The sequence below is a fragment of the Homo sapiens genome, chromosome 10 (genome assembly GCF_000001405.40).
Source record: "Homo sapiens chromosome 10, GRCh38.p14 Primary Assembly".
In the NCBI taxonomy this organism is placed as follows: Eukaryota; Metazoa; Chordata; class Mammalia; order Primates; family Hominidae; genus Homo; species Homo sapiens.
In genome coordinates, this window is record NC_000010.11 from 9,442,896 (window position 1) to 9,455,586 (window position 12,691).

A 12,691-nucleotide genomic window follows, 5' to 3' on the forward strand; every position below is an offset into this window, starting at 1 on the left:
ACAGCACACACTCTCTCAACCATACAATGTACCAGACAGGAAAACTCCATTTTAAAGCAATTGCCCTAGTATGCAATATTCCCTTCTTACTCAACTCTATTCTCATCACTTGAGGTCAGGGGTTCCAGACCAGCCTGGCCAACATGGAGAAACCCCATCTCTACTAAAAATTAGCTGGGCATGGTGGTGCAAGCCTGTAATCCCAGCTACATGAGAGGCAAAGGCAGGAGAATCGCTTAAACTCAGGAGGCAGAGGTTGCAATGAGCCGAGATTGCGCTACTGCACTCCAGCCTGGGTGAAAGAGCAAGACTCCAACTCAAAAATAAAATAAAATAAAATAAAATAAAATAAAATAAAAGGAATCTAGGCCCCTGCCTCCAGCTTCTTTATCATGGACACTCAGCTGTCTTTTCTCTGGTATTTGCCCATTCTTCATTACCCTCCACACATATCTTGACTGGTCCTAGTATGTCAAAGGCTATAGACAATCATGCATTGATTTTTATGTAGTCGACTTGCTTTTCTGGATACTGCTTATGTGTCGAGTCTTTTGTGATATAATTAAGAAGTTGCAGAGTAAACAAAGCAATGGTTCCCATCCTCCATGTCCATAACAGTATAGTGAATGTGAAAGCCTAAAAAAGAGACGAGGAAGCTTACAGTCATGATGATCAGAACTCGGTTTATTTCTATTTTGATCTATTATCAGAGATGATCTATAGACTAGAACTTTTTGCACTAATGGTAAAGCTAATTATATTCCACTAAATACAAGGAAATAATTCAGAATGAAATAATTAAAATCACTGCAACATAAAAATCAATAGCCTGCCAAACAGGGAAAAAATGCTGTTTAACAGAATTTCCATTTCTAAAGTAAATATTAGAGTTAGAGTCATAAGGTAAGATGATTTATTGTAAAATAACAGCAAGAATAAGTACACTTTGGAGCAATTCTGTAAGTAATGTCACAGAATCACCTTCATGAGCTAACTAATTAGCTCATTAAAGCATTCCATCTCACTGAGAAGCAGTTCTCCTTGAAGGCTGTCAGCTGTGTGATTGAGTGACATGCAAAATCTCTTGGCATTTTATGGATACGTGATCCTTGGCATTCAATAATAAAACTTCTCTTCTCTGTTTGTAGAAGAAGAGCATTCAATTTTCATGGAAATGTCAGATAGATTATATTGTTTTCTTCTATTTATTTTTATTGTTTTGGTCTGGGATATATTTGAAAGCCTGTCAATGGTGTCCTTTGCAGTTGCTTCAAGAGCCGTAAAACAATTGGTACAATTTGAAAATGCTGATTTATTGTTGATGCCAAAATATAGACATGTTTTTGAATAAGAAATCATGTGAGATTCATAAATTTCCAGTTGAAGATTAATCATTTCAACTTTTGAGTATTTTTCTTTTTATGTTAATTTCTCTAAACTTCTAATAAAATCTTAGAGGTAGATTCTTCATATATAGAAAAATGAAATAGGGTCTCTGAATACATTGTATAGCCTACATATTTGCATGTAATAGTTATTCCATAAATGCTTAATGAGAAATGGAAAAATTGTAGTAATTGCTTAATTAACATATTAATATTTTGAGAATTCCCTTTGCCTAAATTGCTGTCTGATGTCGTTCCAATAATTCTAAATGCATTCTCTGTGGAATTTTTTTTGAACTTCAAGCTCACTTTATTTCTACCTTATTTTCTCCAATATTGCACTATTTAACACTTGATCATGATTAATATTAACAAATATTTACCTATATGTCTTAATATTCATTTGAGTTCTAATATATGTAAGTGCAGCGAGGGTTAATATTACAGAAAGGAGGGAGGGAAGGTGAAAAAAAAGTAAAAGCAAAAAAAAAAAGAGTGAGAATGGTAAACATCTATTAAACTTCAGCTGAAATGAAAGGAGGCTCATCAATTATTTATCAAGTCATACATATATTCAACTGTAAATGTTTGTAAACCTACCAGATGCTAGAGTGTAGAGGAAGATACTGATGCATAAATACTATAGCAGGTGTTAGCAACATTTATAAGTATAGGATGCTATAGGAATATAGAGGAGAGTCACATAACCCAAGTCTATTGGGTTAAAGAAGACTTTCTCAAGGGCATGATGCCTTGAAATGTGTTAACCAGAGGAATATTCGTGAAGGGCTATGACAGAGATTGTTAATTGCATTCAACCTCTAGTTTCTCTTTTACATTTAGTAATGAACTCCTTGGCATTGCATCAACTTTATCAGGGCACATGGCCACCCAGATAAAGACTATGATTCCCAGCTAGAGGTTGCCTACATGGTTAAATGCAATATGAATAGAAATGATGTATTCACCATCTACGCCACTTCCTCAAACAGATGAAATGTGCATGTGATTGTGAACCAGCTTTGACTATAAGGTCAACCACATGTCCTAGGAAATGACAAAACAATAAACAAGGAATTCAAGAGGATCTGAAGGATAAGGTCTAAGTACAGGTGCTGTGGGAAAATAGAAGGAGACCATGGCCCAGTTTTGTTGGGGTATGGATTGCTTCTACATTCATCCATCAAGTTGTTCATAATATTTTCTTATTATCCTTTTAATGTCTGCAGGAACTGAGTGAAGTTCCTTCTTTAATTTCTGATATTGGTTATTTTTGTCTTCTATCTTCTCTATTGATCAGTCTGGCTACAAGCTTATCAATTTCATTTTTTAAAAATGAGATTTTGGTATGATTTATTAATTTTCTCTATTGTTTTTCTGTTTACAGTCATTGATTTCCATTTATCTTTATTTTCTTCCTTCTGCTCACTTTGGGCTTAATTTACTCTTCTTTCTCTATTATCTTAAGGGGTAAAATTAGATAACTGATTTGAAAACTTTTTTACTTAAAATGTAATCCTTTAATTCAATAAACTGCACTTTAGGGACACCTTTACTTTTGTCCCATAGATTTTGATAAGTTGAGATTCCATTTTTAAACAAAGTGTTTTCTAATGTTTTTGTGACTTCTTCTTCGACACATTTGTTATTTAGAAGTCCCTTGTTTGATTTATAAATATATGAAAAATTTTCCAAGGTCCTTCAATAACTAATTTCTAGTTTAAGTCCATTGTGATCAGAGAATATACTGTATAACTTTATTTCTTTTACATTAGCATGAGGATTATGTATTACAAGAATAGAGTGTAGCTTGGCAAGTGTTCTATGTATACTTAAAAACATATGTATTGTGCTGTTGTTGCATGGACTGTACCTTAAATATCAATAAGTAAAGATAGTTACTAGTGTTTTTCAGGTATTCTATATGCTTTTTGATCTTTTTTCTATTTTTTTAATGATTACAAGAAGAAAAGTGCTGAAATCCCCAACTATAATAATTACTCTATTTTTCTTTTCAGTTTTATCAGTTTTTAATTTAGGTATTTTAAAAGTTTGTAGTTTGGTGAATACACATTTAGGATTACGTCTTCTAGGTGAATTGATGCTTTATTTATCAAAAGATGTCCCTCTTTAGCCCCATTAATATCCCCTGTTTTAATGTATTTTGTCTGATATTAATTTAGCCATTCCAGGTATTTTACATTATTGTTTACATTATATATCTATTTAAATATTTTGTTTTTTTGTGTTATCTGTATCTTATATTTAATGTATGTTTCTTAAAGACAGCATAGAGTTTAGTCTTGCATTTCTGCCCCAAATCCAGTATGCCTGTTTTTTAATGAGGCTGTTTCAATTCTTTGTAGTTAATATAATTAGCAATATAATTGGATCTAAATCTACCATCTTGCTGCTTTCTATTTATTCCACCTGTTCTTTGTTCTTTTTCTCTCTGCCTATTTTTACAATATTACCTATTTTTTTAGTATTTTAATTCATCTTTATTGACTTAATTAGTTATAACTATAACCATAATTATTTTAGTAATTTATTTAGCATTTACAATATGTCTTTATCACAGTCTACTTATTATTAATAGTTATATCACTTAATGTCTCATATAGGAACCTTCCAAGGTGATCCTCCCAGTTCAGCCTTTCCATTCTTTGTATTACAATTTTTACACATTTTACTTTGATAAATATTTAGTGCTATTATAACTTGTTACTATTATGCCAAGTCAAGAGTCAGCTTGCTTATTTTCTGTAAAAGGCCAGATAGAAAAATATTTTTGGCTTTTTGAGCCATAATGTCTCTCTCACTACTCAACTTTTATGTTATGGGTGAACACAGCCACAGATAATAAGTGACTGGGTATGACTATATCCAAACAAACATTATTCATTAAAATAGTTAGGGGCTGCTTTACAGTCAGATGTAAGCAATCTTATTTATTGAAGCAAATCTGCTCTCCCCAAAATTTTCTCAAGTTTTCTTTTTTTTTGAAAAATATTTTTTGCCTTGATACTTGAAAGATACTTCTTCCCCACCGCCCAATATAGAATTATAAGCTGTCTGTTTTTTTTTTTCTTATTCAATAGTTTGAACTAGTTACTCATTTTTCTCTGGCTTGTGTATTTTCTAACAAGAGTATGGTATAATTCTTACATTTTTCTCTCTGTAAATAATTCTTCCTTCCTTCCTCCTCCTCTCTCTTCCTTTTTTTCCTTTCTGCCTGTCCCTTCCCCCTTCCCCTTCCTCTCTCTCCCTGTCTTTCTTTTCCTTTCAGTTCTTCAAGATTTTCTTTTTGTCTTTCAATTTTTAGGACTTTGGCAATAATATATATTTTTGTCTTTATCATGCTTTGGGCATTCTGAATTTTTTTAGATCCAGGAATTGAGGTATTTGCTTAATTTTGGAAAAATTTTGGCCATTATCTCTTCAATTGTTACTTCCATTATCCACCCACTCCCCAGCCTCTTCTTCTGCATCTATGATTATGTTCTCATTAGACCATTGGCTGTTGTCCCATCATTCTTGGTAGCTGTGGTTTTTTTCACCATATTTTTTGGTTTGTGTTTTTGTTTGACCTTTTTCTTCATGGTTTTGTCTAGCAGTATTGCTATATCTAAAGAAAAGCCTCTCAACTTTTCTGTCGTTTTTTTTTAAATCACCTGTTATTCCATTTGATACTTTCTTAGTTTTCATTTCTCTGCTGGAATTTCCTGCATTGTCCACCTTTTCCAACAGATATCATTTGCATGGTTGCCACTTTTCCTCTTTTTGTTCTACCAAAGGTAAAACCATTTTTGTGATCTGTTTATCCTGGAAGAGACTTGTTCCTTGTTGGAATTAATTTTTTCTGAATTACTTTAGACCTCAGCTAGCTTCAAGAAAAGTTATGATTTTGTAGATCACCTAGTTTTATTCTTGTAGTTAGTGTCAGAGTAATATTCTCTTGTATTTTTTCATATCCTATGTGGAGCCAAAGACCTTCTGAAGTGTTTGAATTATTTCTGAAGGATAGTCTTTCTTCCACATTTTATGTTCCTTCTTTTCAAAGAGCTTATTAAGATTTTTGTATCTCTTGGAATCTTTCTTGACTTTTGGTCTACTTTCTGTGAGATCTTCTTTAATTTGTCTTCTAACTATATTGCTGAATTATTTTTCAATTTCTGCAGTGTTATTTTAATTTTTAATGGCTTTACCCTGTTCTCTAAATTTTGTTTGTGTAGTTTACTTTTTTAGATGTTAATATTTTAATGTGATAAAACAATTTATTGTACTTATTTTGAAAATTTCCTCTGTGAATTGTCTTTGGTTTCTCTACATTCTCTTTTTATGCATGTTTTATTTTTTAAGTACTTTATCAAATTTACATTTCCATCTTTAAGAATGAGGCACTGAAATGCTGACAGAGAGCTCAGATGGTCAAGAACAGAAGGGGGTTGTGGGTGGTCTCACAGTTCATAATATAGCACTTCCACTTTCAACCATGGCTAGTGGTCAAAGTCCAGAGCCTCTGTTGTTAAACGGCTACATAGATTAAATATTTAGTCCTTTTTTGGGATGAACAGAATAGTGTTCTTGTTGACAGGGTAGGAAAAGAGATCTTACACACTAATTGTTTCTCCTAAAGTCTTCTAACTAATCCTTGCACTTTCAGCCCCAATCCACATTTTAGCCATCAATGGCAATTACATTCCAACTTGTGGGCCTCTGAGGTTCTTGGATACACATCAGCTTGCTTGATCTTTTGACTTAATCTCTTGGAGTCTGTTGTTGATTTCCCTTTCCTCACTCTTTCTAAGTCAGGTTCCAGTCATCCATTGAGTTCACAGTTTCCACCATCTTGTGGACATTTCTTGCTGTCATTTCTCATTCTCTTTGACTTTGTGGTTTAATGCATTTTTGAACGTTGTTTCACTGTGATAGAAGTGAATTTTTTGAGTGGAGGTAAAAGTATAGATGTTCAAAATGCAACGAAATTGGTCCTCCAGAGCTGGAATTCCAAAGCAAGGCAAGGGATCCCAGACTTTGTGTTCCTTCATCAGCTGGCCACTGCCCAAGTGTGGCCCTCTGGAAGAGGACACAACCTTGAATGAGGCAGTGCTCTAAGGCTGAGGGAGATTCCCAGTGAGCAGCATGCTAGGGCAGTCAATAGACCCTAATCCCCACAGGTGGGAGATAGGTGCATCATCCTCAAGAAAAATTGGGGTGTCATTGCTGATATCCATCACAGTGTTTATAGCTCCAGGCCCCGTGTCATCTGCATGTTTATTCTTACTCTTTTTCCATTGAAGATAGTACAAGAGGCCCCAATAAATCAAACAGTTTTTAATGCTTGCCAGAAAAGGAGACAGCTGCTTGCAAAATTCATGTATGCTTCCCTTTTAGGCTTAGATATACTGTATATACAACCAGTCCAACCACCAAAGATCAGCTTCCTTTGTCTTTGAACTGGGGCCAAAGAAGTTAAGAAGTTTCCCAATATAGGCCCTTTGTAGTCAGCCGCTTTCCCTAGAGCTTTGGCTGCAGGCAACTATTGGACTCCTTTATTCAATGTAATGTCATTTGCTTATTCCAGAATTTCAAATAAATGGAATCTTTCAATAATTCTTTATTTTGCTTGTTATCACTCAGCTTAATATTTTAAAGATTCATGCATGCTGTTGGGTATATGTGGAATTTATTTATTTTTTATTGCTGAAGAGGATTCTATTTTGTCGATATACTTGATATGGTTTGGCTGTGTCCCCACCCAAATCTCATCTTGAATTGTAGCTACCATAAATTTCTCATGTTATAGGAGGGACCTAGTGAGAGATAATTGAATCATGGGGGTGATTTTCCCCATACTGTTCTCATGGTAGTGAATAAGTGTCATGAGAGCTGATGGTTTTATAAAGGGAAACCCCTTTCATTTGGCTCTCACCCTTCCCTTGTATGCTGCTATGTGAGAAGTGCCTTTCACCTTCCACCATGATTGTGAGGCCTCCCCAGTCACATGGAACTGTGAAACCTCTTTCTTTTGTAAATTGCCCAGTCTTGGGTATGTCTTTATCAGCAGCATAAAAACGGATGAATACAATACTGCAACGTGCTTATCAATTGGGCTGAGGAAAAGCATTGAGTTCTTTCCAGTTTGGGGATGTTATGAATAAAGCTGTTATTACCAATGTTGCATGAGTTGTACATGGTCATTATTTACTACTCTTCTCAGTAAAATACCTTTGTGCTCCCTCACAGCCAGCTACTTTTTTTTTTTTTTTTTTTTTACCATCTCTTAAGAAATATCTAAGCATTTAGAAGAATGAGCTTTGCACTTCAGGCATGCACAGATGAGGGAAACATTTTACTGTAAGGATCTGGATGGTAAATATTTTAGGGGTTTCAGTCCACAGGGTATCAGTTGCAACAACTGAGCTCTGCTGTCACAGCACAAAAACAGGCACAGAAAATACATATACAACTGACTGTGTGGCTAGGGCCAAAAAAAAAGCTTATTTATATAAGCAGGAAATGGGCAGAATTTAATCCAGGAGCTACAGTTTGCTGTTCTTATTTAAAATTGCAAAATATTCCTTGACTTACAGTGCAATTATAATAGTGTTTTCATTTGTTAAGTATTCCCAGAATCATGAATTGGACAATAAATAGATGCTAGGAAATGAATGCTGGACACTACTGTGCAATGATAATTTCAGAGTGCAAAAATCCACTGTATCCATGCCAACTGAGAGAATGGGTTCCTCGAGTAAACATGTTTGTCTCCTCTCTTACCTAACTATGCCTCCTGTTCAAGTTGTTATTGTATACTGCAGCAGTGAAGGAATATTTCTAACTTTGACAAGGATACGACTCATGAACTTTTATGGCATTAAAACTCAGCTCCCTTCAATTTTAAGGACATAGCCCAAGAGATGTGGAGAAGCATTTCCCTGGGGTCTAAACATTGTTTTCTTCAAGAGCAGGTATTTGTGGTCACCTTTGTCCTCTGCCAGGACTGCTCAATGTGTGCCTAGAGACAGAGGAGGGCATGTCTTCTTTAATACATCTATTGTTTGGGTGTCTGTGTTATGCAGAGTTTTCTATAATGATGGGGCTCAGGGCAGAAGATTCCTGTTGCTTGGGTCTAAATGTAGTACTAATAAAATCAGAATCATCTTAAAGAACATAAATCAGGCCATTGTTCTTTGCTGCTGAATATCTCCCAGTAGATTTCCATTGCATTTAAAATGAAATCCACTCTCCTTTCCCTGGCACGCAGGCTAACCGTGTGCTGAAACTTGCTGGTTCTTGTAAATTAATCTGACCTCACTGTCTCCCAGCCCACCATCTTCTAGCCTGCTGGCTTTCCTCTTCTGTCTTGAAGAAATGGAGGAGGAAAAATAATCTTGGCTTTCTATGGGAGAAATATTTCTCCTCTTTTCATTTCTATATTTCAGGACATATGATAGTGTCTTGCAGACATAGGTTGTCAAATAGGTATTTTTAAGTGAAAGATATTTTACAAAAGCAAAGGAAGGAGGGAAGTTTTCCATGGTGATGATATAGTTTGAGCGTATTCTTGGTGGTGTGAAATTTATGTGAGGTTTTAAGGAATGACTTGCAAGGTTAAAATAATGAGATTTATAAGAAGGATATGTTATATTTTAAGGTAATTAGTGATGGTTTCATCAAAAAGATGGAAGAATCTATGATATTTACATGCTTGTGGATGTCTCAGAATTGTATGGTGTTTTGCAGTTTCCAAGTACTTTCACATATGAAATCTCATTTATGCGAGATCCCTGTTTTTCTAGCTTAATGCAGGCCAGGGATGCATAAAAACTTAATTAGAGACAGAAGGAAAATAATTTCTTTTTCCAAGGATCCATATGTGTGCAATGAAAGAACAAAAGGAAGTTTTGTTTTTAAGAATCATCCTAGACCTTGCATTTTTATTCATTTCTGACAATGGAAAAGTGGCTATAGCTGCCAACTCAACAGTCTTTCCAAGTAAGCCCTTGAGTAAGAAGCCAAATGTCTTGTCTGTGAAAAAAATATATATATATCAGCAGTTAGGCATCTGAATGCCACCTCCAGATAACAAGGAAATGAACATGTGTGCATTTGATTTAACACTTTAAAATGTGGTCTCTCACATTGCTCTCCCAAGACTCATCACCCTGTATTTTGAGAGTACCTCTGAGTACTAGGGTTCATGCCAATCTCACAACTAAATACATACAAGTGCACTTAATTGTGATTAAAAACAATCACTCAGTCCATGTAGATAACTAAAGTTTTTTTTTTCTTAGTAGTATATTTTCAATATTTCTAAACTGGCCAGGAGATCACTTTAAAATGAACCAGGCACAGCTTGCAAAATGCCATTACTACTCTCAGGACAAACTAATGAGCAAAGAAAATAGGAATTTCATTGGTTATGTGGGAAATCATTCTATACTATGCCAGGAAACATATTTATTTAGTATATGTACAGTGTATGAGCTTAATATAACCATTTGATTGAACAAACTATTTACCTAAGTCAACCTTACCATTTCCTCCCTCCACTTCTTAACAGTAGATTTCATCTAATCCTCATGCAAAAAAGTGGGTAATATCAACATTTATTAATAATTATTTTATTGGTTACAATGTTCTATACGTTCTTTGGTCTTTTGAAACTGTCTTTAGCTCTTACTCACTGTCATCCACAGGAATTGCACCACTAAGTTTTAGAAACTGTAGTTTTAACTGGAACATTTTTATTCCAACTTCCTATGGTCACCTGATAATATTAAAATTCTGTGACCTTAAAACTAGAAGGACTTCCAATAGCCATAATTAGATATTACATTAAATCATTATTAATCTCTGCATTCTCTATAAAATGTTTCATTTTCATACAATTGAAACATAGATTTTCCTTTCTGTAAATTACAGAATTTTCTACCTGTATCATGCACAGGTGATGCCTTATTATCTATGATCTATATCTGAGCATCTTTGTACCTGTCCCCCTTACACAGCTACACAAAATTGAAAACCTAGGCAACTTCTTATTAACTTTCTCCTCTGACCTGTTAACATCATCCCTTCTAATCTTAGCAGCACTGGTGGTGAATATGTTTTCATTCTTTCCTCCATTTTTACACAGTTTGTATGCAAATAATATTTATTATTAAATCAATAACTAACAATGTGTAACTACTTGTTGTGGGAAGTCAGGGACCCCTAACGGAGGGACCGGCTGAAGCCGTGGCAGAAGAATATAAATTGTGAAGATTTCATGGAAATGTATCAGTTCCCAAAATTAATACTTTTATAATTTCTTATGCCTGTCTTTACTGCAATCTCTGAATATAAATTGTGAAGATTTCATGGACAATTGTCACTTCCCTAATAATACTCTTATAATTTCTTATGTCTGTCTTTAATCTCTTAATCCCATTATCTTCATAAGCTGAGAATGTACGTCACCTCAGGAACACTATTGTACAAATTGATTGTAAAACATGTGTGTTTGAACAATATGAAATCAGTGCACCCTGAAAAAGAATAGAATAACAGCGATTTTCAGGGAACAAGGGAAGATAACCATAAGATCTGACTGCCTGTGGGGTCGGGCAGAATAGAGCCATATTTTTCTTCTTGCAGACAGCCTATAAATGGACATGTGAGTAGGAGAGATATCACTGAATTATTTTCCCAGCAAGGAATATGAATAATTAATACCCTAGGGAACTAATGCATTCCTAGGGGGAGGTCTATAAATGGCCGCTCTGGGAGTGTCTGCCTTATGTGATTGAGATAAGGACTGAAATATGCCCTGGTGTCCTGCAGTATCCTCAGGCTTACTAGGATTGAGATATTCCAGCCTGGTAAATTCTAGTCAGACCGGTTCTCTGCTCTTGAATCCTGTTTCCTGTTAAGATGTTTATCAAGACAATATGTGCACAGCAGCACATAGACCCTCATCAGTAATTCTAATTTTGGCTTTGCCTTGTGATCTTTATCACCCTTTGGAGCATGTGATCTTTGTGACTTGATCCCTGTTCATACAACCCCTCCCTTTTAAAATCCCTAATAAAAACTTGCTGGTTTTGTGGCTCAGGGTCATCATCACAGTCCTACCATTATGTGATGTCACCCCTGGAGGCCCAGCTGTAAAACTCCTCTCTTTGTACTCTTTCTGTTTATTTCTCAGGCTGGCCAACACTTATGGAAAATAGAAAGAATCTACATTGAAATATTGGGGGCTGGCTCCCCCGATAACTAGTGTCGGTTTTTCATATTCAATTCTAAGTTCTGAGAAGCAACGAACTACATCAATCTAATTATACCATGGTTGGCCCATTCTTACCACAGTTCTTGGTACGTACAAAGCAAGTTAGCTAAAAATATTGGTAACATTGTATTCTGGGAATCAATCTATGTATTTTGCCTCAGTTAATTCAGTTAATATTTAGAAAACACTTTTGAGACAGGCTTTTATTATCCTTATTTTATGACCTTAAAAGAATAAAGTGGGCCTGGTGCAGTGGCTCACGCCTATAATCCTAGCGCTTTGGGAGGCCAAGGTGGGTGGATCACCTGAGGTCAGGAGTTCGAGACCAGCCTGGTTAATATGGTGAAATCCCATCTCTACTAATAATACAAAAATTAGCCAGGCATGCTGTCAGGCACCTGTAATCCCATCTACTAGGCTGAGGCAGGAGAATTACTTAAACCTGGGAGGTGGAGTTTGTAGTGAGCTGAGATAGTGCCATTGCACTCCAGCCTGGGCGACAGAGAGAGACAGTCCCAAAAATAAAAAATAAAAAAATGTAGAAACTGAAGGAAAAATTAAGTAATTTGATCAAGACCTCAAAACTGTTTTGTGGAAGGTTCATGAGATATAATGTGTTCTTCATAAATACTGTAATGGACTAATAAATTGTGAAAAATTGCATAAGAAGGTGAAGATAGCTAATTTTGCAATAAATGTGTATAGCTTATAAGTATACATATGTATTCCTTGAACAATGAAGTCTTTCAAAATTAATAGATTACTTACGATGACAATTTGCTGTCTGTAGAATATTGATACGTTCTATTTAGTCTACAGGTAAGAATTTCACCTTCAACTCATCATCAAAATAGGTTAATATAAATAATATAAATTAAAAAACAAATGATTTTGCTCTCTGTATAAGAATCAGACTATGGCAGAGAGATAGTATTAACTGGTGACCCATAATTATAATTTGTACTTTGTAAAATTTTCCTGGAAATGGGAGAAAACTGATTGCCACCTCTAAAAATTCTCCTGCCCT

General features: G+C 35.0%; 1 long non-coding RNA gene across 5 annotated transcripts in view; it reads right to left on the reverse strand.

The window, feature by feature from the left end:
* Nucleotides 1–385: 385 nt before the first annotated feature.
* The window catches only part of LINC02663 (long intergenic non-protein coding RNA 2663), a 434,814-nt gene continuing 422,508 nt past the window's right edge, over nt 386–12,691 (reverse strand). For all 5 annotated transcript variants that reach the window (XR_930643.2, XR_930644.2, XR_930645.3 and 2 more), the window contains one exon: nt 386–636. This is a non-coding gene — a long non-coding RNA (long intergenic non-protein coding RNA 2663). The remainder of the gene's footprint in view (nt 637–12,691) is intronic.